A 27990-nucleotide genomic window follows, 5' to 3' on the forward strand; every position below is an offset into this window, starting at 1 on the left:
TAAAAGTATTACAAAGGGATAGGAACACAGGTATTAACAAGTGTGGGGCAATATGTTATCTATAGAGCTATGGTGAAAAGAATCTGTAACAAGGGTGAAAAAATTAAATTGGAGAGAATCCAAATTATGTAAAGATGTCTTAGGGACCATGAGGAGAGAGATTAGGTGATTACACCAGTGAGGAAGTAGCGGGGTAACTGCCTGAGTTACATGGGAATGTAGGCTTGACTACATGTTAAAAGGTTAGATCAGAGAGGCACAAAGTACTGAAAACTGAAAATGGAAAGAATAAAGTTGTATTACAAATTCACAGTATATTACCAAGAAATGAGCTTTTAAAAGCAGAAAGTTTGATGAAATTTGCAGGAAAAAGGGTGGAATAAAAGGTTAAATTATAGAGGAAAATGAAGAAAACACTGCATTGTTTTTTATCTCATCCCTGAATTGAGGTTAATTGTGAAGTTAAAAAGATACACAGGAATGTATAATAATCAATATTTTGAAAAAATTTAGTTCTTACTGAAAAAGGAGTATATATACCTAATGTAAATTCAAACAATACTAAAATACAATCAATGAAAAAGTGAGTTTCCCAACTACATTATATTCCCAAAGATCCTTTCTCAGGCAATCAAATATTATGGATTACGTACCATTTCAGAAATAAGCCACACATGTACTTGTGTATATATGTGTGTGTGTACATATATATATATATAGTCACATTCTGTATGTTTTTAAAACATAAAAGGTGGCATACAATACATATACTCTTGATCTTGCTTTCTTCATTTAATGTTTCCTAGACATCATTCCCTTTCAGTTCACAGAGAGTTGCCTCATTCTTTTTCATGGTTGCATGTATTACTCTGCATGTACCGTAATTTATTTAGCCATTTTCCTACTAATGGATGCTTATAAACAATGCTATAATAAAAATCCCTATATATACACTGTATTGTAAATATGTATTCCTAAGGAAATAATTCCTAAAAGTTAAACTGTTAAATGAAGGAGTATATACATTTATAATTTTGACAGAAACTAACAAAACTACTCTCACAGCTGCACTAGTTTATACTTCTTGAATAAGAATTACTGTGTTTAGGCTGATATTGCAAAAGGAATATATTTAAAAGAAGATAGTAGGGGGAGGAGGGGAAAAGGGAAGGGGCAGGGAGAGGGACAGTAGCTTACCTTCCAAAGTCACAGAGTTTTAATACAGCAGTATCAGGATCCAACAAGAGGTTCTGCGGTTTAATATCCCGATGGCAGATTCCAAAGGAATGGATATAGGCTAAACTTCGGAACAGCTGATACATATACAACTGGAATAGATAGTAGAAATTAATTAAATACTTCCTATTCTAAACAAATCAGAATCCTTAAGCAGTCAATAAAGTAACAGATTCTCAGAAAAGAACAGGTGAAATGCTATGGATTACTGGCACTCAATCTTCCTTTCACAAGTTTTGTGTCACTTCTGTATTAATTAGCTATTTCTATATGAATTAGCTAAACTGTCATTAACCATATGTACTATTCGCTTCATTCTTTAATAACTCAAAAGAAGAAAATTTTACAATGTGCTTTATAACTTTTAATTTTACTAACATCTCACATTACAAGCCTGCTAAGATGGGCTTTTATTTAAAACACAAATGAAAAGCTCAGAGAGGCACCCCAAATCATGAATAATCAGTAACTTTGGGCCAGAAACCAGGTCTCCTGATTTTTAAGTTTATAGTTCTTTCTAGTAGAGCATGCTGCTGAATGTAAACGTATTTCCAAAGTGTGATCTTTAGAATATTCTTCTGAGATGTCAGCCTCCAAGGTGATTGATACAGTGGTCTAGGAAAACTCATGTGGACTGAGAAAATCTGTAATCACTGCTCTATCAAGACATCAATAACCCTGTTAGTAGCATCACCATTCTTCCTGTTAATATCCTTCAGAAAAAGTATAATTCAAAATGACATTCAAAAACAGATGCCTGACTATTGACATCATCTTTCAAAAGAGAAGACTTTCTCAGTTTTCTTACCAAAAAGATACACTGAGAAACTGGGTCTGCATGGAGTAAAGAATCAGACTCTTGACTGGAGGAGAGAGAAACTTCATGGACGAAGAGAGTATAATTTAAACCTTCTGTTTATCTCAAGGTCAGTGTTCTGATTCACTTTTAAACTTTTCTGGCTGTTTACCTTCTGACCTCTACCCCAAAGTTACACCATGGACAGAATTTTTGAAATGAGTCAAACCAAAGATAATAAATATCTTGGTAAAAAAACAATTAAAAAAAAAGATACTTAAAAGTCTAATGAAGCATTGACATATGGCACCATCTTTAAAAGCTACTGCTAAGGCTTAGGTTAATTAAAGTTAACATGAAACCTACTTTCATTCTAAGAAGCATGGTGAAAACTGCAGACAGCTGAATTTTAGTACATCCTTGAAGTTAATGTGAACTATTAGCTGGAAAAGTTTATGTTTTCTTTAAAATGAAGCAAGATGTAAACTGTACAGATAAGATCTTTTATAAGGTCAGCATTTTGCCAACAAAGTTAAAATTAAGGCATTTAGGTATCCATGTAACATTTTTTAAAAACTTCATAGTTCTATTATTGTACCATCATTCACAGAATCCATTTCTAAGTCCTAAAGCTTACTGTAGGAGTTTAATTCATTACCACTAAAAAGATAACCTCCCATAAGAAACTGAGTTCATAGGCATAAATTTACTAAAAAAAGAGATTTTACTGTGTCAGGGTATTGATGTCTAGGTCTGCAAGAATCAGTGAAAACGAGTTTTCTTTTTTTTTTTTAAAAAAAAAAAGCTTAATCGTTTAAATGAGGTTAATTTTAAGATGTCTTTTTACTGTATTCTTTCATCTGAAAGATCTACTCTATCTTCATTGTTTTGAAAAGTTTATCTAGAAAAGTCAAGATAAAGAATGAAATATGCAATATTATATATTTGTTGTTATTTCACTTTGTAAAAGTGTATTTATAAGAAAGCTGAGAGGCTTTCTAGACTAGAATGATAGCAAAAACAAGAACAGAAAAACAACTTATCATGGGCTGGGCACTGTTCTAACTGCTTTATGTGTATTATTTCACTTACTCCTTATAATAACCTTATGTAATAAGTACTAATATTATTACCATTTTAAATATAAAATAACTGAGGCCCAGAGAGATTAAGCAACTTGCTCAATATCACACACACACAATATTCTGTAGTGGTTTGAGTAAGTGCTTCTCTTTCAATTACTATTTATGTATTTTGCCATATTTTATTAAATAAAGGTGTAAAATATAATCATTAAATAGCTTGGTGGAGGCCGGGCGCGGTGGCTCACACCTATAACCCTAGCACTTTGGGAGACCAAGGCAGGCGGGTTGCCTGAGCTCAGGAGTTCGAGACCACCCTGGGGGCAACATGGTGAAACCCCGTCTCTACTAAAATGCAAAAAATTAGCCGGTCTTGGTGGTGCACGCCTGTAATCCCAGCTCGGAAGGCTGGGGCAGGAGAATTGCTTGGACCCGGGAGATAGAGGTTGCAGTGAACCCAGAATGCACCACTGCACTCCAGCCTGGGCCACAGAGCGGAATTCTCTCTCTCTCAAAAAAACAAAAACAAAACAAAACAAAAAAAAAGCAGTTTGGTGGCTAAATAAAAGACTAGAATGATTAATTCTTAGAAACTCAAATATAATTAACACACTTTAAAATATAACAGATTTAACATATACTAAGTGCCAAACCAAGAAAAGCATTTCTGCCTATTTGCCTATTTGTTTAGTTAATTCTTGCAACCACTCTGAGATACACATTATCCCTGTTTTTACAGAAGATATTGAGGTTCAATGAAAACAATTTTTTTTATTTTTCATTTTATTCAAAGTTGGTACAAAACTGTTAACATTTCCATAAAACAATTACTATGCTTCAGTTACAGGACAAAATATCACAGAAAGGAATGTATTTTGCAGTTGAGCACAATTTGAACAGTTAGTTATATTTAACTCAAATCCAATGCCCTCTTCTCTGTGCCATAATATCTGAAGTAATAAAATAATAAAACAATAGAATACATGTTAAAACAAGTAATAACAATTTTGTTCATGATTCAAAAAATGCATCCAACTCTCTTGTGTGATCAGACCCTGTCCTTAAACATGTATTTTCAATTAAAAAAAAATTAAGTTCACAACAATGATTTGCCAGTCATCTGTTTTAGAGTTGCATTTTAAAACCTACTTAAGTTCTGAAATATACTCATCAGAAAAGCAAAGGTGCTCAGTTTTTAACCTGTGTATTACTCATAGAAAATACTCAACTCTCCCAGAAAAAGTGAAAGGCAATTATAAAGAAATGCAGTTGCCATTCTGGTAACATGTATGCCAAACAAGTCCTTATCAGATGATGAGGTTCATGAAGGCAAGAGTTACTTGCATTTACTACTTTTATATCGCTCTCACAATCTAACATTTTTCATACAATAGGATTACAATAAAACTATGTAGAATGACTACGTGAAGGAGATCAACTCATAACTCATCAATTCCAGACACTGTTTTTATCTTTTCAGATAAAAGGGATCGATGTCCCCAAAGAATAATGCCCAGAGCCAATAGATCTGGCCTCTGAAAGCGCTGTGGTTACATAAGAAAAAAAAAAAAGAAAAAAAAAAAAAAGAAAAATCATCCCTTTTCCCACAAGGGGGAGAAAGAAAGGAGTGCTAGATTTCTCTCTGTATGCCAACTTCAGTATGTACAATAATTTTATTTTCTTTTTTAAAATACAGGATGCCAGATATCTAGCTCAACTATTTGCTGGCAAAAATACCGTAAGTGCACAGGGTTGTTCACTATAGCAAAAACCAAAAAAACCACAACAAAAAACAAGAGGAAAACAATATGTGCATTATTGGTCACTGGGTGAATTAACTAGAATACAGCCACATGATGAAGTAATATGGTAGCCATAAAGAAGGTGACACACACACACACACACACGAAAATATGGACTGATCTCTAGGACATATTTTTAACTGAAAAAAAAGAGAAAAATGTGTACCTTATGTAACCATTTATATAAAAAGAGTAAGAATAACTGCATGTTTGCTTATTTTAAAAATGGTAGGATAAATTATGAACACTTAAAAAATACTTAACACTGGTAGAGGAAAGGAACAGAGCAGAGGGAACAGAGATAAAAGCTGAACTTCTTTGAACATACCTTGTTTTGTCAATCTTGCTTTGAACTATGTATAAATATTTTATATGAATTTTAAAGTAAATTTTATTTGAAAATTTAGAAAACCACAATCTATAATAAAAGTAAACTGAAACAAACAAATGCTTAATGGAACATCATCACACAGAGAGGAATTATTCAATTTTTTTGAGATGAAGTCTTGCTCTGTCACCCAGGCTGAAGTGCAGTGGCATGATCTTGGCTTACTGCAACCTCTGCTTCTCAGGTACAAGTGATTCTCCTACCTCAGCCTCCTGAGTAGCTAGGATTACAGGTGTGCTCCAGGATGCCCAGCCAATTTTTATATTTTTTAGTAGAGGTGGGGTCTCGCCATGTTGGCCAGGCTGGTCTTGAACTCCTGACGACCTCTGGTGATCTGCACACATCAGCCTCCCAAAATGCTGGATTACAGGCATGAGCCAATGTGCCTGACCTCAGTGTTTCTTTAGAACAGAGAAATTTGATTGTTCATCCCTAATGGGATCTAATGGGTAAAACTGAGCTGTGCTTAGATCTTAAATTATTTTTAGCTGGTGGTCCTAGTGTTGGAATTGTTATTCTAAGATGGTTATGTAGGGTGCTGGGTAGAATAAGTTATTAATTATACTACTATCATTGAGAAATGAAATTTTCAATGTAAGAGAAAGGAAATACAAATATAAGATTATTACAGTTAAGTAAAAACTCATCGATTTTATTTGAAAGTATCAGTATGAACTCATGGTGTATTTATTTTTGGAAAAAAAGAAGATGCATTACATCTGAGAAAATTACCCACATATTTCCTAGCTCTGTTCGCTAAAAAGACCCAGAAACAATAACCAATCCCGTGACAATTAGCACCTCTAGCATCCAGACTGTGGTCTCTAAATACCACCTCCCACTAAAAGAACAAGGTCTTCTTGAAGAAAAGGTTGATTCTAAGTCTGAGGAAGAAATGTGTAAGATGAACTTGGAATACTTTGTCATGTTAGAAAGCAAGGAAACGGTCAAATATTATTAAGACTCACATAAGATACTTTAAAACAACAAAACACCTCATTCATTGGTACCTATGGAGGATGCTATGGAATAGACTATTATAAATTTTCGTAAATAAAGAAAAGGGATCAAATACATTTCCTGTCTTTTTATATAAACTATATCTCAGGGCACAAATAGTTGATATGGGAAAATCTCTCTTTATGAAACTATTCCAGCTTATAAATTAAGAAGGAATAATAACAGTAGACTATCAACATTTTGTAACCTTTAATGAATTAATGAATTTAGGCAGTGATCATCAATGGCTACTAACGTCAGGAAAAGAAAGACATTATGTTCTTCCTTCAGAAAGCACTCAATACTACAAATGAAGTGGTCCTGACTCCTACCAAAAATATATTTAATTATCAGTTATCTAACCACCAATTTGCAGGAAATATAGATGACCAAAGAACATACTAATTACACTACAGAAATTCAGCAAAATCCAGACCAAGAAAGTATAGGTCAAATGATCCGGTTTCTTTAGCAACAAAGTTCAAGAGAGAGAAAAAGAGAACCTATGGATTAAAAGAAACATTAGAGGCACATCAGCCAATCACAGTATATAAACCTTAACTGAATGCCAATTCAAAAATATAAACTTAAAAAAATTATGTCATAGGCAAATATAAACTGGGTATCTAATGACACTAATGAAATACCATTTATTTTCATAGGTATGACAATGGTAATTTAATTACATTTTAAAAAATAATATCCTGGCCAGGCGTGGTGGCTTGCGCCTGTAATCTCAGTACTTGGGGAGTCCCAGCTGGTGGATCAATTGAGGTCAGGAGTTCAAGACCAGCCCAGCCAACATGATGAAACCACATCTCCACTAAAAACACAAAAATTAGCTGGGCATGGTCGCGTGTGCCTGTAATCCCAGCTACTTGGGAGGCTGAGGCAGGAGAATCGCTTGAACCCAGAGGGTGGAGGTTGCAGTGAGCCGAGATTGTGCCACTGCACTCCAGCCTGGGCAACAGAGTGAAATGAAGGAAGGAAGGAAGGAAGGAGGTAGGTAGGTAAGGAGGTAGGTTAGGTAGGTAGGTAGGTAGGTAGGTAGGGAAGGAGGGAAGGAAGGAAGGAAGGAGGGAAGGAAGGAAGGAAGGAAGGAAGGAAGGAAGGAAGGAAGGAAGGAAGGGAGGAGGGAAAAATAATAAAAAAGAACATCCTTATCTATACATAAAGTATATATATACTTTATATATAAATATATGATATACACTACATATAGTATAGTTTATATATAAATATGTAATATACACTATAGTATATATAGTTTATATATTATATATACAATATATAGTGTATATTATATATACTATATATATATATGACTCCTTGCCAAAGTAATCTAGCTAACAAAAGTGCTTGAAGAACTTCTATTATTATTATTATTATTATTAGCTTATGCAAAATCCATCCAAAGAACTTCTATTATTAATGGTTCTACTTTGATAACCCTTTTATTATTGTGAAGCTTAAATTTTTAACAAGACTTCAAAAACTCTAACCATAAGACATTCAGAGTCAATGACATTTTATTTTCTACAGTTATTTCCATAAAGGGTTAAATTTAAAAATTGTATTTAGATATGTGAACTTTCAAACTTAACTACTAGTTTTCACAATGCCATAGTTAATAAAATAATTTGTTACTAATAACTAACCACAACTTTAATACAAATTATGCTAGATAAATACCTAGCCATTCTGCCATGAGTTCTAGGAAATAAACAAGATGGCATTGATATTAGATACCAAAAAATAAACAACACCCAATGCATATTTAAAATTGCCAACAGTTTAAGCTGCAGCTACAGATGCTAAAAAATATATAAATGGCATCTGTGAACAAATGAATTTGAACATATTTATAACTATATTTTACAATTTTATATGATACGCTCCTATTTTGGTTTGTGGCACAATAAAGATATCAGAAGTTAAATTAAAATGTACTGTGGCTAGCAGAAATAAAATCTATAAATGTCTGTGAAAAATATTCACTGTAATTTACCAGAATATCTTTACTATCTGAGTTATAAAACTTCAAAAGGTGCACAATTCACATTTTAAAACTGTAAAAGGATTTAACAAAGTTCCAACAATACCTACTTTACAGTTTTTCTCCCTGAGTATTAAATACAATAATATAGTTAAAACATAAAAGAGGCTCTCCTTGGTTCATAAAAAATGTTTTCTAAAATGGAAAATTGTTATGTTTTTACATACCTTGACATAAATCACAGGGAGCGTCTGTTTGGCTCGACTATAGTGTCTGGCAACTCTGTATACTGTTTCCGGAACATAGTCCAGCACCAGATTAAGATAGACCTCATCTTTCTGAAAGAGTTTATTTAAAAAAACAAAAAACAAAACAGATTAGAAACTGGTCTTTAAATATTCAAATTAGAGTAAATTCTCTAGATATTTACTTATTCGGATTTTTAAAGATTAATGTGTCACTTTTAATTATATAAAATTACTTCAGAATATAACCATAATAATAAAACAAGTCAACCACACCTTTTTACTAATAATTCAATGGGGAAAAAATAGTCATTTCAATATTGTTAAGATTCCCAATTACATTTAAACGATTATTTTGGTTACCATGATTTTAGAGGATATCACCTGTCATAAAATATAATATTTTCTAGGCTGATAATCAATGTCCTCATATCCTATTAAGATAAGTATCGTGGTGGCAGGGAGAGTACTGAATCTGAAACTAAGAAACATGGATTTCTAGCCCTAGCTCTGCTAGTTGGTGTGTGCAAGTCACTTGCATCTCTAGGCTTCAGTTTCTTCAACTACAATATGAAAAGTCAGACTAAACAGTCCAAAATGTCTCTAACCTACACACACACAAAAAGATCTTATAGTTACCTGATAGTATATAACTGATAGAACAATCACTTGTCTTCTATAATTAACTGAAATTTAAAAAATAACCTATAAGGCAACGTGTTACCATACTCACAAGCTCATTACAGGTCCTATGCTTAAATATCCATGCTCTGCAGCATAAAGACACCAACTCAACAACACCAGTGGAGAAAAAGAAAGGCATTCTAACTTAAGCACCAAGTAGGAAGGAAGAGCAGGGCACTGCCCTTACCTTGTTCATGTGGCCAGTATCAGGTAAATTGAAGCAGAAAACAAAGTTGAGAATCACCATGTTCAAGCATAGGCTTGGCTACTGAGTGAGAAATACTGTGGATAAACAAACTTTCACAATCTCCCAATTTGAAATAATCTTACCTATCAAACTGAAGTGGAGAATTTCAATTTTCAGCATTTACTGAGCATTTTCCATATTATCAGTGGCCACAGCAGAGGAAATAAAAGTATAAAAGAGATGACATCTAAACTGTGTATAAAAGAAGCATTTCACGCAGAGAGAGAAAACTATATTCAAAACATAAGGTCATGTAAGAGTAGAGCAGAGATTAGGAAATAGTGAAACATCATGCCATTGACCCTACTACCTTCTCTCTACACTTCACGCACTTATGTTCTCCTCTCTTCCCTTCTTAGCCTGCTTAAATTCCACGGTCCATCATTATCCTCTCTAACACGAGAGTTAACAAACAACAGGAATAGTCTGCTGCCTGTTTTTAAAAATAAACTTTTAATGGAACAGAGCTATGCCTATTCAGTTAAGTATTGTCTATGGCTGCTTTTGGACTACAGTGACAGAACTGAGTAATTGTGACAGAGACTAGATAGCCCACAAAGCCAAAAATATCTAAGAAAAAGCTTGTGGTTTTTCCACAACCCTGGTTGAGTTCAGCTTTCTGCCCAGTCCATGTCTACGACCAAAGAGCTCAACATGGCTGCAAAGAAACCTCTAATTATGCTGACTGGTGTCATGTTCAAGTCATCATCAAAATTTAATTTGTTAGCCAGGCGTGGTGGCTTACGCCTGTAATCCCAGCATTTTGGGAGGCTGAGGCAGGCAGATCGCTTGAGTTCATGAGTTTGAGACCAGCCTGGGCAACATGGCAAAACCCCATCTCTACAAAAAATACAAAAATTAGCCAGGCGTGGTGGTGTGCACCTGTAGTCCCAGTTACTTGGGAGAAGGAGGTGGGAGAATGGCTTCAGCCTGGGAGGCAAAGGTTGCAATAAGCCAAGATCATGCCATGCACTCCAGTCTGGGTGACAGAGCCACACCTTGTCTCAAAATCAATTTGTCCAGCAATAATTATACACTTTCCTGGTCCATTCACTTTTCCAGACCACTTAATTTCTTCTTTCCTCCTCTTCAACCTCTAACACTCCTTCTCTAACCTCAGCCTCAACAGATGACCTTGCTTGCATCACTACAAGCACTAACCTACCAGCATCTATCTCCATATACTCTTATTTTACTTCTGTAACTAGAGATAAGCTAACCCAGCTCCTTCCTAAGGCAAACATCACTACATGTTAAAGCAAAAACAAAAATGGTCCTGTACTCAAGGTCATTGCTCCAGAATTTTTTTTGTCTTTCTGCATTAATTATTCCGTGTGGAAACATTACAATCAGCACATAAACTTGCTATTATTTCTCCCATCTTAAAAAAAAAAAACTATCTCTAACCACACTAATCACCACCATATTTCTGCCTCCTCTCCTTAAGCTGGCTTTCTCCAGTTCCTCTCTCCTCCTATTCTAAAACTTTCTCCAACAGAATTTCACTACCACTATGCCAAAATTATTCCAGATGAACAATCTCCTTGTTGCTGAATCCAAAGCCAATTTTCAGTCATCATGTTACCCTTCTCATCTATTTGACTTGGCACTACCATTTGGAAAAGTCAATCACGTTCCTTTCATTGAAGCACCTTCTTCACTTCATAGGACACTATACTTTTTTGGTTTTCATCCTACCCTACAGACAACTCTTCTTTTCTCCATTTCTGCTTCCTCCTATTCTCCTTGATCTCTTAAAAATTGGAAGATCCCTGGACTTAGTCCTCAGATCTCTTCTGTTCTTTAAACTCACTCCCCCTTGATAATCTCATCCAGTCTAATGACTCAATACAACTATACACTGATTATATATAAATACATACACATATACTAGACCTCTGCCCTTAACTCCACACTAGTATATCCAACTGTGTATCTGGTATTGCTCTGGCTGAAAACCTTAGAATCATCCTTAATCAACTCCCAGCCCCTTCTCTCTTACACTTCCACACACACACACACACACACACACACCCCTATACCCACACATACACCCTCATATCCAAATGCCAGGAAATATGAATGGTTCCATCTTTAAAATTTATCTGGATCCAACCACTCATCATCTTCACTGGTAGAACCCTCGTCCAAGCTACTATCACCTTTCACGTGGATTACTGTAATATCTTCCTAAATGGTCTGCTTCTACCCTTATTCCTTTCCAGTCTACTATCAACTAAAATCAAGTCAAGTTAGACTGTATCTCTTCTACTCTACCTCATTGGTCTATAAGGTACTACACACCCATCTCATTATTTCTGTCCTCTATTCTTCTACTCCACTGCTGTCCTCACTGCTTACTTTTCTCTAGCCAAGCTACTTCCCTGCTATTTCTTGAACACATATGGTACATTTTCAGATTCAGGGATTCTGTACTTCAGGGCTTCTAATTCTTTAACCTAGAATGTTCTCCCCCAAGACATGCTCAAAGCTCATTTGTCTCAACTCCTTCAAAATCTTTGGTAAAAGTGTTACCTTCTTAGTATGGCTTTCCTTAATCATTCCATTTAAAATTACAACCCATTCCTCCACCTTCACATTCCCCATCTGCCTTCCCCACTTTATAAATGACTCTTACCATTGTATAACCACATAGTTTATTTTATTTTATCCGCTTCCTCTGACTAGACAAGGCTCCATGATGGCAAAGGCTTTTGTCTGTTTTATTCACTGCTCTATCTCCATGTAGAATAGTGCCTAGCACACAGTAGGTACTCAGTAAATATTTGCTGACTAAATTAAGTGTAAGGGCAATGGGCATTTTAAAAAATGTAGTATTACATATTTCACAATGTATACACATATAAAAATCATGTACACTGTAAATATATACATTTTTATTTTTCAATTATATCAATAAAGCTTGAAGAAAAAAATTAGATTACAAACTGACATGTCTGTTTTAACTCAAACAGTATTATGGAAAATGGGTATGGAGAGGAGACTTGGGAAAGTGAGAATGAATGCAGGGTGAGCAGCTGGAAACCTTCTACAAGAGTCCAAAGGCTGAATCAGGGCATAAGGCAATAGGGACTTTTTTTAAAGCAGCGGGAAGGCAGGGTAGGTATACCGGCTAGTTGAACATGAGACTAATAGAGAATCCAAGAAACAAAGAGATTGGGATTAATTTAACTGTCTTTAAGCTTGGGCAACCAAATAGGTGATGAGACACAGAAAGCAAAAACAGTAGAAAGGTTTGAAGGAAAAATTATTTGAACTTTTACTTAATGAATCTCAGAACACTTTGAGTAGTTATATTACATAGGTGGTTGCAAACAGAGGTCAAGGCAAAACTCAGGAAGCAAGAGTGGAGTACAGCTTGAGATTCAGGCAATAGCTGAAGCCATGAGAATAGACTTGTTCACCTAAGAAGACCACCCAGAGTTGGAGAGTAAGGAAAGGACTGAGTATGGAATCCTGAAAAACACTAAATTTAAGAAGCAGACAACACAGGGGACTTAGCAAACATGAAGAAAAAACTAAGAGGCAAAAGAAAGCAAGGAAAGATTAGCATCGACAATTCAAAGTGGAAATTTCTATAAGGGTGAGAGGTGAAACTGTGAAGCATTTCAATAGCAGACGAGATGAGGACTAAAAAGAGGTTATTCGATCTATACCCAATATCTTGGTGTATCTTGGTTCAGTGATGCTCTTGGAAAAAGAGGTTTCAGACCATGGTGCCAGTAGCAATCAAGCTTTATTGGGTTCACAAGTGAGCAGGTGGCAGATGAGGAATAGGAGGTAGTTAATTCAGTTTATTCTCACAAAGTCTCTGGTGATGAAGTAAGGAGAGAACTGGGAGTTGGTAACTCAAGGGGAGCAAAAGTCAAAGAAACATTGTTGCTGGGCTTTTGTTTGCACTTTTTACTGGCTAAAAGAGACCCAAATTTATTTGTAAGCTAAGTAGACATAGGTAGAATAAAGTTATAAAAAAGGAGGAAAGGCCGGGCTTGGTGGCTCACGCCTGTAATCCCAGCACTTTGGGAGGCAGAGGCGGGCGGATCATGAGGTCAGGAGATCGAGACCATCCTGGCTAACACGGTGAAACCCCGTCTCTACTAAAAATACAAAAAATTAGCCGGGCATGGTGGCAGGTGCCTGTAGTCCTAGCTACTTGGGAGGCTGAGGCAGAAGAATCGCTTGAACCCAGGAGGCAGAGGTTGCAGTAAGCTGAGATCACACCACTGCACTCCAGCCTGGGAGATAGAGCGAGACTCCATATCAAAAAAATAAAAAAAAAAAAAAAAAAAAAAAGAGGGAAAAGGGATAAGAAGCAAGATTCTAGAAAATCAGGAGAAGGAAGAAACAAGGACAAAGACAAACTATATAGCATAGTAATTAAGAAGTAAGATTAGCATGAGTCACATAAAACTATATAGAAGTCCCAATTCTGTTACTAGGAGTTATGTAACTATGAGCAAGTTATTTAACCTCTCTAAGCATCAGTTTCCTCATCTGCAATATAGAGCTAATGACAGTATCTATTTTAAAGAACTGTCATGATATTATAAGAAATCATCAATGTGAAATTCTTTAAATACATTACCTAACACACAATAAAGACTCGAGTTTTAGCTATTTTCATCCTTAAAAAATTAGTTATCTTTTTTTCTTTAAATCTAATAAGTGATTAGGTATTAGGGAAAAGGAAAGAAATGTAAGCTGAATGAGTTATGTGTGATGATCCTATTTCTTGTAAAGTAAGAGATAAGATGATATGCAAAACTAGGGGTAACAAGAGTAATGCTGAAGGCTAAAAGAAAAAAATGCAGAGATCAATATTCAGAAACAATCAGTTCCCATTGTAAATGAGGTCTAATAAAGAGAACAAATTAACAGAATGCTCAATTGGTGTGAAAAGGATTGCTGTATTAAATAGAATTCAAAGAATGGTGAGTCTCAGGTATTAGAAAGGTCATTAACACAGATGTCAAAACCATTTTTTTAACTATTACTCAATCACAAAGTTTCTTGATTTTAATGATCCATTTTACAAAATTAATCATTATACAATTATGAACAACCTGGAGATGTGTATACCACTACATTCCAATTTACTTCATTTGCTAAACAATCATACTAACAGTTAAGAATATAAAGGCTGAACCAGGCGCAGTGGCTCATGCCTATAATCCCAGCACTGTAGGAGGCCAAGGCAGAAGGATCACTTGAGTCCAGGAGTTCACAACCAGCCTGGGCAACACAGGGAGGCACCATTTCTACAAAAAAACAAAAAATTGGCCAGGCATGGTGGCTCACGCCTGTAATCCCAGCACTTTGGCAGGCCGAGGTGGGCGGATCACCTGAGGTCTGGAGTTCGAGACCAGCCTGACCAACATGGAGAAATCCCGTCTCTACTAAAAATACAAAATTAGCCAGGCATGGTGGCGCATGCCTGTAATCCCAGCTACTCTGGACGCTGAGGCAGGAGAATGGCTTGAACCAGGAGGCAGAGGTTGCTCTGAGCTGAGATCACGCCATTGCACCCCAGTCTGGGCAACAAGAGCGAAACTCTGCCTCAAAAAAAAAAAAAAAAAATAATAATAATAATTAGCCAGGCCTGGCAGCACACGCCTGTGGTCACAGCGACTCGGGAGGCTAAGGTGGGAGGATCACTTGAGCCCGAAAAGTCAAGGCTAGTGAGCCGTGATGGCACCACTGCAACCCAGCCTGGACGACACAGTGAGATTCTGTCTCCTACACACACACACACACACACACACACACACACACACACACACACGTGCGCATGCACACACACATTTATTTAATTTTATATATTTAAATTATATGTAAGATTAAAAGATGAATGCCAAGTTCAACAGAGATTTCTAGTTACAGGACTATAAACTGTCCTTCCCTTGTCTCAATATTTTTATAAATGATTTCATTTATTACAGGTTGCAAATGCCATCAACAGCTAAGCAACATATGTAAAAGTGTGAAGCCAAATTGTGTAACGCAATAAGGGGCAACAGTTGGTAAATCACACAGTACAAAACTTAACTAACTACAAGCATTCTAGTTTAAAAAAAAAAATGTGCTTGTCAAATAAAACACATCATGGGATAGATTTGGCTGTCAATTTATAACCTCTGATTTCAACACAGCCACCTAAGATTGACACAGACCTAGAAGAATGGCTTAAAATGAAACATTGAATAAAAATTTAAAGAACTTGGGCTGGTATGATAGACCAAACCTGCAATATGAAATTTAACAAAGGCCCTATGACTAAAATCAAAGTGTCAATGTATTATTGAGAATGAGAGAACAGAGGAACTCCAGATCAAACTTGACAGTAATACATCTGGAAATTAAAGAAGTGTAATTGAACAGAACTCAAAAAGAAAAAACACTGAGATGCAACCAATAAAAAACATCATGCAACATTAGGCTACAAAAGTATTGTGTTCAAATCAATGAAGATAATTCCACTCTACTTTGTATAGCTCATGCTGCATTGCAAGTAGTGATATCCCTTTATTGGCCACATATTTTATTCATAATATTAACACAGCAGAATACATCAAAGGAAGGCTAATGAAAGCATGTCTGCTATAGGCTGAACAATCTAATTTACTACACTATGAGAAATATGAAGGCACCAAAAAATGCTCTTGTTAAATTTACAAATGTTCTAATGTAAAATAAATAGCCACAGGGAATAACCCCGAGGGGACAGTGCCCATCCCTAGGAAACACCATATGTAGGGAAAACAGTAGTATTTTTGCAGTTCCAAAGTACGGTTTTGTTTGAAGCTTCTTGCACAACATAATTAAGAAGGCTAAAGATGCTAATATTTTGAGAAGACCAGGATTCAGCATTTCTAGCACTCGTAATTTTCTGAAACATCTCAGGTTTGCTATTTCCTTAATGTAATCTATCTCCTTTGGATTCTCAGACACAATGCTAGAATACTCACAAATTGTAAACTTTAAAAACTAAATAGGCCGGGCACAGTGGCTCACGCCAGCAGTCCCAGCACCTTGGGAGGCCGAAGTGGGTGGATCTCTTGAGCCCGGAAGTTTAACACCAGCCTGGGCAACATGGCGAAACCCTGTCTCTACCAAAAATACAAAAGTTAGCCAGGCGTGGTGGCATGCACCTGTAGTCCCAGCTACTCAGGAGGCTGAGGCATGAGAATCGCTTCAACCCAGGAGGCGGAGGTTGCAGTAGTCAAGACTGTGCCACTGCACTCCAGCCTAGGTGACAGAGCAAGACTGTCTCAAAAAAACAAAACAAAACAAAAAGAAATAAAAAAATAAAATAAAAATTTAAAAAACCTAAATAGAACACACAGTATCATTTGGGAGGCAGGAGCTGAAAACGCTGAGTCTGCTAACCTCAAATAACTGATACTAGGTTTCCAAAAAACTGGCAAAAGAGTCAATGCCAGAAGTCCTTTGAAAGGAATCTGCTATTATACAAAGTGGATCTACTTAGAAACTTCCAAAAAAATTACATAATGTATAATTTAGGGAGTATTTCTCTCTATGACTCAGTTTTCCTAGTTATTAATTTTATTAATAAACTATTCTCTAATCACTGATAACCATTTTTCTATGAACTCCACATTAAAACCACACACTGAGTAAGAAATTTAAGTGATAAAATTTTGATCACATGTAACAACAACTCAACAACAGCTGAGATAACTCCATCCTACCTTTGGAAAACACATTAGTATGATGTGTTATCTCCAGATAACTTCTGAGGTCAAGGAAATAAAATGACTTGAGGTTACATTTTTAATAGAATCATGATATAATTTTAAAAATCTGATGTAATGCAATACAACATATTAGAGATCCCCGCAATAAGACATCAAATGCAGCATCACAGTAACCCAGGATTCTCATCAGAATTGGACTGGGCATTCCAACTGGCAAAAATCTCCAAAATAGCTATCTTTTCTCTGATGGGTACGCCAGGCTGGCTAGAGATGAGAATATAGTACTAATAGTAAAGAGTGTGTGGATTAGGTAAGAGAATACCTTTTTGCTTGAGAGGCTGTGGGAAGGAAATGGGAAAGGGTAGGCACCTAGCATACAACGATTAAGGCAAATTTCATCCCTATCTCACACCTTAAAACAAAATAAACACCAAAATTACCAAAGGGTTTTTTTTTTTTTTTAGAAAAATAATAAATGTGCCAGAAGAAAACATGGGTATTTCTGCAAATCTTGGAAGACAAAAGAGCTAAGCCATGGAGAAAAATAATGCCAATTTGATTACACAGAACTGTAAAACATCTATACTACCTTAAGAAAAAAAACTCACACAAACCCAGTAAAAAAAAACCATGACAATTTGGCAAATAAACAAATAAATAAACTTCTGCTACACATGATAAAAGCCTGATTTGTTTTTCTTTAAAACACAAATAGTACTTGGAAGTCAACAAGAAAAAACCAGTATTCAAACAGAAAACATGGAAATATAGGCTGGGTACGGTGGCTCACGCTTGTAATCCCAGCACTTTGGGAGGCTGAGGCTGAGTTCAGGTGTTTGAGACCAGCTTGGCCAACATGATGAAACCCTGCCTCTACTGAAAATACAAAAATTAGCTGGATTTGGTGGCAGACACCTGTAATCTTAGCTACCCTGGAGGCTGAGGCAGGAGAATTGCTTGAACCCCGGAGGTGGAGGTTGCAGTGATCGAAATCATGCCGTTGCCCACCCCAACCCCTGCAAAACAAACAAACAAAAACAAGAAAGGAAATATGGAAATACGCATTAACAGATGGTCATAAAAATGGCCAACAAAACTGTAGAAAAATGCTCAGCCTCACTCATAATTAAAGAAATGTAATAAAGATAGCAATAAGCCACAATTTTTCATCTATCAAACTAGAAAAGAAAATTCAGTCTGAGAAAACTAAGTATTGAAATAGATCACCATCCAATATGAACTACAACAATTCTTGTGAAAGTCCAAACTCATGCAATCTATTGGGCAGGCAATGGGTTATTAATTCAGAAGTGAAGACATAGAGCCCCCCCAAATAGACTCAGCAATGACACTTTAGGGATTACATCTATGAAAACAATTCTGTGTGTGTACACGCTCGTGCATGCATAAAATTTGTGAAGAGCAAGAAATTAAAAACACATCTGCATGCCATTATCTTATAATGCCAGAAAACAAAAACATGCTTTAAAATAAAACAAAAAGCCCACATGATAGTATGTTAAAGAAGCACAGGAGCCGCCAAGCGCGGTGGCTCACGCCTGTAATCCCAGCACTTTGGGAGGCCGAGGTGGGTGGATCACCTGAGGTCAGGAGTTCGAGCCAAGCCTGGCCAACATGGTGAAACCCCGTCTCTTGTGAAAATAAAAAAATTAGCCAGGCATGGTGGCAGACGCCTGTAATCCCAGCTATTTGGGAGGCCAAGGCAGGAGAATCACTTGAGCCTGGGAGGCAGAGGTTGCAGTGAGCAGAGATCAAGCCACTGCACTCCAGCCTGATAGGCAGAGCGAGACTCCTTCTTAAAAATAATAACCATAATAATAAATAAAACAAAAAAACAAACAAGAAGCACAGGAGGTAGTTGACAGAACTCCCAGTGGCCAAACCTGGGACAATGTGGCCAATAAAATAAATATCCACAAATCCACACTGATAGAAATAAATGACTAAATAGATTAATACATGGGGGAAAAGAGACATGTCTCTTACGCAAAATAAATTGAAATAATTTGTGTAGCTACTCCACCATTAAGGAAAAGAAGTATAGGGGCATAATTCCCACCTTAGGTGTAGTCTCTGCATAGTGACTTCCTTCCAAGGAATAAAGTATGGAAAGAGTGGGGAAAAGAGTAATTTTACAGTCAAGAAAACTAAACACTACATCAGTCAGGTGTTGAAAGTCAGTTAACAGCACTCATAAAGCATGTCGACAGTATATGTCCTTGATATGATGTGATGAAAATGACACTTTACCTCTCTGTTGTCTTCTTGCCAAAAACGTGTAACCCCAGTTTTATCATTAAAAAAGCAGACAAACTCCAATAGTGAGGCATCCTACAAAACATCTGACCAGTACTCCAAAAAACTGTCGAGATCATCAAAACCAAGGAAAGTCTAAGAAACTGCCATGCAGGTAAGTAAGATAAGACCACTAACATCTCATTATGTTGTAATGAGGGATCCTCAATGTGGTATTCTTTCTTATACTTTGTAAATGTAATGTGGTATCTCAAATGGGATCATAAACAAAAGACCTTAGACAAAAACCAAGGACATCTGAATAAACTATAATAATTAACTAACTGTAACAAATGTACCATATTAATATCTTAACAATAGGGGAAACTTTGCAGGGTCTGTCCATATAGACATAAAAGCCCTATTACTGTATTGTTGGTAAAAAGGGAACATGTTCCAAAATACATATGTTATTACTAATTTACATATAATATATGTGCTCATACATGCATATAAGAAATTTATATCTGTTAAGAGTGGGATTAGGGAATTTAGGGATTAGGGTAAAAAATATTTCATTTTAATTTACTCCATTCTGTATTACTTCAATTTTTTATATAGTATGCATGTAATAACATTTTAGTTTTGCTGAAATATTAAAATAACATAAAAACAGATGACAACTGATATTCAAAAGAAACTCCTAGATTATTTTTGAGCAGATGATAATTACCACCTCATTTGCTGTCAGTAACATTTATACTTTATGAGGAGGTCCTGATAATTCAAACTCAAGAGCTTTATTATTACTTATATATTCACTTCCTAGGTCATACTCCATTGAAAATGTTAGCATTTCATCAGTCAAGTTTCATCCAGATAATCAATAAACCACTTTAATAAGACATCAACATAAAACTTTAAGGAAGATAGACCAAGCGAACTTAGATAGGTAATCACTTTATTTCACTGAATAAAATTCACTTCTATCAGTAATTTTCATAATATAGTAAGATAAAGAGAGAGGAAAAGAGGGGAGAATTGCATATTGTCAACCTGATCAAGGTACCATTTCTGTAATTTGGGGTTTTCATCTAATTGAAAAAGAACAACGACAACAAAATTATTTTTATACTAGGAGGCTGACCTTGACCTAATCATATATGAACCCACTTTTACTTTCCTAGCCTCATCTCCACTACAATCCCCACTACCCCAACTTTATATACCAGCAATTTCAAACTACTTGTATCTCCTCTACACACACTGTGCTATTAAACATCACCAAGTCTTTAAAATACTCTGTACTCCTTGGCATACATCAGTTCTACACTGTTTATCTAAATAGTTCCTATTAATTGGTATTAAAACCAATTCTTCACAGACTCTTTCAAAAAACAGAAGCAGAGGGAATACTTCTCAATGTCATTCTATGAAGCCAGTATTACCCAATACTAAAACCAAAGACATGACAAGGAAAACAAAAACAAAATAAAACTACTGATCGATATCCCTTATGAATATAGATGCAAAAACTCTTAACAAAGTACTGTTTAGCAACATATAAAAATGATTACACACTATGACCCAAGTGAGATTAATCTCAGAAATGTAAGGTAGGTTTAACATTCAAAAATCAACTTATATAAAACACCATTTTAATAAAAACAAAAACCACATAATCAATAGAGAAAAAGCACTTGCCAAAATCCAACACCCTTTCATAAAAATGCTTCAACAAGCTGGAAATAGAAGAGAACTTCCTCAACTGATAACACTATATCTATGAAAAACCCAAGACTAACATCACACTTGAAGATGAAAGACTGAATGCTTTGCCACTAAAATCAGGAGCAAGAACAAGAATGTCTGCATTTATCTCTTCTAGTAAGCATTTATCTGCATTTATCTCTTCTGTACTAGAGACTCTAGCCAGAACGGTGTCCAGAAGAAAAAAATAAAAGGCTTCAGGTTATATATATAAATAACATAAATATATATAAAAATATAAATATATATAAAAAATATATATATATATATATTTTTTTTTTGAGACAAAGTCTCGCTCTGTCACCCAGGCTGGAGTGCAGTGGTAGGATCTCAGCTCACTTCAACCTCTGCCTCCCAGGTTCAAGTGATTCTCCTGCCTCGGCCTCCTGAGTAGCTGGGATTACAGGCGCACACCACCATACCTGGCTAATTTTTGTATTTTTTAGTAGAGATGGGGTTTTGCCATGTTGGCCAGGCTGGTCTCGAACTCCTGACCTCAGGTGATCCACCTGCCTTGGCCTCCCAAAGTGCTGGGATTACAGGTGTGAGCCAATGCACCTAGCCTTGGGTATCGTATGTTGATTAAAAAAATCAAGTCATCAAGGAGCTATAACAATTATATACACAAATGCACCAATCAACACAGCCCCCAATACATGAAACAAAGACTAACAGAATAGAAGGGAGAAATGGGCAGCTGTACAATAGTTGGAGACTTCAATATACCACTCTCAATAATGAACAGAACATCAAGACAGATCAATAAGGAAACAGATAACTTGAACAACACTAAAAACCAACTGGACCCAACATACATATACAGAATACAGCCACCCCCAAATAGCAGAGAACACATTATTTTGCACCTGAGCATAGGTCTATGCAGGATAGACCATATATTAGGCCACAAAACAATGTTAATAAATTTTAAAAGACTGAAATCATATGAAATATCTTTTCTGACCACAATGAAATGAAACTAAAAATTAGTAATGAAGGGAAACCAGAAAATTCACAAATGTGTGGAAATTGAACAATTCACTGTAGACAACCAATGGTTTAAAGAAGATAACAGACAACACACTTGCTATAGTTTGGACTGTTTGTCCCCCTAAACCTCATGGTAAAACTTGATCCTCAGTGTTGGAGATGGGGTCTAATGGAAGGTATTTGGACCACAGAGGTGGATCCCTCATGAATGGAATTGTGCCTTCCTCTTGGTAATGAATGTGTTCTCATTCTATGAGTTCCCTCCCACTACAACTGGTTGGTAAAAAGAGCCTGACACCTCTCTGCTATCTGGCCACGTAACCACTGCATATGTTGGCTCCCCTTCACCTTCCACCACAAGTGGAGGCAGCCTGAGACTTTCACTTTCTAGCTAGCAGAATTGTGAGCCACATAAACCTCTTTCCTTTACAAATTACTTGGCCTCAGGTATTCCTTTATAGCAGCACTAAACTGACTAAGATAATACTCTTAAACAAGAAAAATTTTTACATAGTTAAGACATAATACCAAGACTTACGGGATGCAGCAAAGACAGTGCTCAGAAGGAAATTTACAGCTGTAAATGCTTACATTAAGAAAGAAGATCTCAAATCATTAATCTAACTCTACAACCGGAGAACTACAAAGAAGAAACTGAACCCAAAGCTAACAGAAGGAAGGAAATAAGAAATATATGAATAGAGATGAATAAAACAGAGAACAGAAAAAAAACAGAATCAACAAAACTAAAAGTTTTTTTTCTTTTCAATCAACAAAACTGACAAACCCTTAAAAGAGTTTAGATGTAGGGATAGACTGACAAATAAAAAGAAAAAGAATTAAAATCAGAAATGAAAGTGGGGCCATTACTACTAACCTCACAGAGACAAAAAGGATGAAAACAGCATACTACAAATAATCGTATGTTAACATATTAGACAACCTGGATGAAATGGGCAAATTCCTACAAATACACAGATTATCAAACTGACTCAAAATGAAACAGACGATCTTAACAAACATACACACAAGTAGAGATTTAATTAGTAATAAAGAAAAAAACCTCCCAACAAAGTAAAGTCCAGGACCTGATGATTTCAGTGGTAACTTCTGCCAGTTTACTAAAGAAGAAATTAACAATAATCTTTCTAAGACTCTTCTAAAAAAAATAGAAAAGGAAGGAGCACTTCTTACCTCATTCTACAAGGCAAGCATTACCCTATACCAAAGCCAGATAAACACATCACAAAAAAGAAAAATTACCAACCAATATCCCTTATAAATATAAACGCAAAAATCCTCATGAAAATACTAGAATATGAAATCTAATAGCATATTAAAAGGATTATACCCCATGACCAAGATTGGGGTATAATCCTTTATCTCAGGAATACAACAGTGGTTCAACATAAGAAAATCAATGTAATATATCATGTTAATAAAATGATGGAAAAAACCCCACACGATCATTTCAATTATCACCAAAAGGGCATCTGATAAACTCCAATTCCATTTCGTGATAAAACGGAAAATGTTTTAAAAATAACAGTGATAGCTGCATTATATCATATACGTAATTAATGCTCTTGAATTCTATACAATTATATATTGATATTCAGCAATGAATATCCCAAAAGTAAAATTAAGAAAATAATTCCTTTACAATAACACAATCTATAGAAATAGTTATTGTAATACCTATAATAAATCTTAATATACTTCAAAAAACAAAAGTTAATATCTGGGCTGAGCCTATTTTAGCTCTCAGTTTTCTACGACTATCTAGAAGGCTTTCAATAAATCTACATAGCCAACTTCACATTGTCTCAGGCACTGGGCTAAGCATTAAAGAAACAAAATTAATAAAATCTCACCATGCTGCTGAGAATTACACAACCTAGTAAAAAGATCTAGTTAAAAAAAAAATAATTAAAATACAAGAAAAATGTCATGAAAGAGGTATGTGCAAGATATTCCAAGGAGAGAGAAGCTTTTGGGGCTAAAAGGGGGGCTGGGGGGAGAGAAAATAGTGAGATATCAGATGGAGCTACTTTTGAGCAGAGACAATACAATGAAAAAGAACTCAACAAAAATAGAGCAGGGGTGGAGGGTAGGAAAGAAGCATTCCAGAAGGTATTTGCATTAACAGGGATAATACAACATATTCTGACAATTGCACATACTTTGGGCAAGGCTAGAACATAGATAGCCTGTGAGAAAGGAGAGATGAGTCAAGTAAGGTCACGATATAGATGTTCAAAGACCTTGTATGTCATGCTAAGAAATCTGGAATTTACCTTTTAGGTAACTGAAGAAGTGATACAATCAGAAGGATTGCCTGCTGCCATGTTATATTAGGGATGGTCACAACTCCCATCTCCAACATCTCCAATGCTAATTGATCATATAAAGCTTTTGGTAAACCCAGACAATAAATTCTTAAGACAATGACCCATATTGTCTCTTCTAATTGTTTAGAATAATCTATGATTTATCCCTGTTTTAAAATACTGTTTAGGCTAGGGGTGGGGAGGAAGTAAAGGTATGTACTAGAAGAAGAGAAATCACCAAGAGTTTAGATAAGAAATAATGTGGGCCTGAACTAAGGCAGCATTATCAGTGAAATAGAAAGAACAGATTCAAATAAGTCAACAAAAAGGTCTAGCATAACATCCAGGTTTCTTATTTTAATAATTGATATATAGCAAGGATAAGGGGAGTCGTAAATTCTAACATGCTAAATGTTGACGGCTCAGGCTTCCAGGTAGAGATTTCTGGTTGGTACTAAAATTTGAGGCTCTAGAGTTCATCAGGGAGACCTCAACTGAAGATAAACATTAGAGAGTCACTGAAGTCACAAGGATTGAGAATATGGCCCAGGATAAGTATGAAAGTAAAGAAAAATGGAGAATAAAACCCTAGGGAACACCAAGAACTAATGGTTAGAGGTAATGAAAGAAAAACTAATACATGATACTATAAACATTTTACTTACATGGCCACAATTTTCACAGTAACAAAAGTGTGTGTGTGTGTTTGTGTGTGTGTGTGTGTGTGTGTATACACATGGTGTATATAACACAAGTATATATATAAAAATATATATAAAACACAAGTATATATATTATACATACATATATTACCCTCATTTTAGCGATAAGGAGAAAAATTAAGCAATTTGCTTGAGGACACATAGCCAGTCCTCATGGCCAGACACATGAACAGCAGAGTCACCATTCATACTCAAATTGATTCTTTATACTATACTGCTTCAAAATTAAGAAGGAACTGTTCTTGGCCTTTTCTTTCTTTCTTTCATCCCTTAATATAACCATATGCACACATACCTGCTCTCGAAAAAGTTAAAACTGAATTAGAAATGAGTACATATACATACATACATACAAGTTTTAGAAACCTCTGATAAAAGTTCTTTATTAAAAGAAAAACATATACTGAAATTAAGAGTGGTGGTATTAGGGAAGGTTAATGGAATCCAGAGCTAGACTGTGGGGGCTCAAATCTCATCAAAACATTTCTAATAAATATTTATAAATATTTACATAGCTTGCTATAATTATATCTCCTTGGCTCTTGGGTGAATGGCTTGATGGTTCTGTTTTATCTTTTGGGGGTCAGAGATTTCTTTGAAAACCTAATAAAACACCCAAGCTAGCTCCCTCGAAAAAATGCACAATCTTTATTTTAGAAGAGTCACATACTTCCTGCAAACTAGAAATTTAAAATACTGGTTTAAATCACTCTATGGGCAGGTCACGTCACTTAACTTCTCTCCATCTCCTCTTCATAGAACCGTTGTGAAGATTAAATGAGTAAATATAAGTAATGTGTTTAGATTAATGCCTGGCATATAGTATCTCATACCTTTTAGCTATTATTATCAATACCACTACTTCTAGTACTGCAACTATTACTACTAATTTTTTTTTTTTTTTTTTGAGATGGAGCTTCGCTCTTGTTGCCCAAGCTGGAGTGCAATGGCTCGATCTCGGCTCACTGCAACCTCTGCCTCCTGGGTTCAAGCGATTCTCCTGCCTCAGCCTCCTGAGTAGCTGGGATTACAGGCACTTGCCATCACACCTGGCTAATTTTTTTTATTTTTAGTAGAAATGGGGTTTCACCATGTTAGCCAGGCTGGTCTCAAATTCCTGACCCCAGGAGATTCACCCGCCTCGGCCTCTCAAAAGTGCTGGGATTACAGGCGTAAACCACCTTGACTGGCGTAATACTACTATTAATATTATAATCTCCCCTTGTTTGATAATTTACTAAGATATTTTTTAATGTTCTATTTCTAGCACACTGCTTCTGGAGGAATGTACGTCCTATGCTAAACACTATAGCATACTATACAGACTCTGGAGTCAGACTACTTGGAGCTGACGCCCAACATTGCCATTTAGTAGTTGTATGGTAACTTACTTAACGGCTGTTGTATCAGTTTCTTCTATAAAATAGTGCTTCTATAAAACTCATTCTTTAATTGGTTGCTATGAGGTTTAAGTGAGTTATAAAATATGTAAACAGCTCAGGACAATGTTTGACATATAAAAAGCGCAATATATATTTGCTATTAATAAACACAATAATAGGTAAAATAGTAAATTAATGTTTATTAAGTGTTAATTTATATGCCAGGTACTATAATGAGCACGTGATAACCTTATTACATTTGTTCCTTACAAAACCCCTACTGTGCAGATGGCGGGGAGGAGGCTTATAAAAGTAAATATCTTGCCCAGAGTCATACTACTATCAAGTGGCAGAAATGGAATGCAAACTCAAATATTTCTAGCTACAAAGCCAGTGCTCTTTACTTTTCAGAATGAATCCTTGGCATATATGTCACCCCTACCCTTTCCTCTCCAGAGCTAGTGGTAGACCAGCAAAATTAAGCACAGCATTCTGCTCCCTGATCCCAGATGCAGTGGTACAATCCTCCCCTTCTGGATACAGGCCCCCATTACTATCAATAGAACAAAGGTGGCATGAGAAATAAAATCAACTGTCATCTTTGTTATTTGAACAGTCTCTCACAAAGTAGAAGGCAGAGGTTTTTCGCTTTATTATTAAAGTAATCTATGAACCACAAGGAAAAAAACTTTTAAATGAAAAGTTACTTAGAGAAGTTTTTCTTACAGAAAACTATTAATTGATTGAAATAAAATTTAAGGATCTTGTGAAGACATAACACAGTTTTTATTTTTATTTTTTATTTTTTGAGACGGAGTTTCACTGTTGTTGCCCAGGCTGGAGTACAATGGGGCAATCTCGGCTCACTGCAACCTCCTCCTCCTGGGTTCAAGCGATTCTCCTGCCTCAGCCTCTCGAGTAGCTGGGATTACAGGCACCCACCACCACACCCAGATAATTTTTTGTATTTTTAGTAGAGATGGGGTTTCACTACGTTGGCCAAGCTGGTCTCGATTCAACCGCCACGGCCTCCCAAAATGCTGGGATTACAGGCGTGAGCCACCACACCCAGCTCATAACATGGTTTTTATCATATGATCTTCAGAGTCCTAGAGTTCTTTGGGGTAAGCTATAACTCAGAAAAGGCAAAATCATCTGATCCCACACCTTAGCTTCAACTAGGGCAACTCTGCTTTTCATATGTTCTATCAGAGGTCTTCAGAAAATTTCATTGGGGATGTAGAAAGTTTCTACTGCCAAATATTAAAAAAAGAGAAAGACTATTCTGTAAGATACTTGCAACTCACAAAACTATAAGCCCAGGGTTTC

The 27990-nt window shown here is 35.9% G+C and overlaps 1 protein-coding gene across 4 annotated transcripts in view, besides 1 other annotated feature; it reads right to left on the reverse strand.

The window, feature by feature from the left end:
- GSK3B (glycogen synthase kinase 3 beta) overlaps positions 1-27990 on the reverse strand; it is a 273127-nt gene that overhangs the window by 93526 nt on the left and 151611 nt on the right. For all 4 annotated transcript variants that reach the window (NM_001354596.2, NM_001146156.2, XM_006713610.4 and 1 more), the window contains exons 4-5: positions 8527-8637; positions 1198-1328 (exon numbers count right to left, since the gene is read on the reverse strand). In NM_001354596.2, coding sequence (NP_001341525.1) covers positions 1198-1328; positions 8527-8637 — 242 coding nt within the window. The remainder of the gene's footprint in view (positions 1-1197; positions 1329-8526; positions 8638-27990) is intronic.
- Positions 22635-22734: an enhancer, noted in NCBI's record as "active region_20327". NCBI's record gives its function as "activates an Ori minimal core promoter by ATAC-STARR-seq in GM12878 lymphoblastoid cells {active_cell/tissue: GM12878}" and the evidence as "EXISTENCE:reporter gene assay evidence [ECO:0000049][PMID:35858748]".

This window comes from Homo sapiens, chromosome 3 (genome assembly GCF_000001405.40).
Source record: "Homo sapiens chromosome 3, GRCh38.p14 Primary Assembly".
In the NCBI taxonomy this organism is placed as follows: domain Eukaryota; kingdom Metazoa; phylum Chordata; class Mammalia; order Primates; family Hominidae; genus Homo; species Homo sapiens.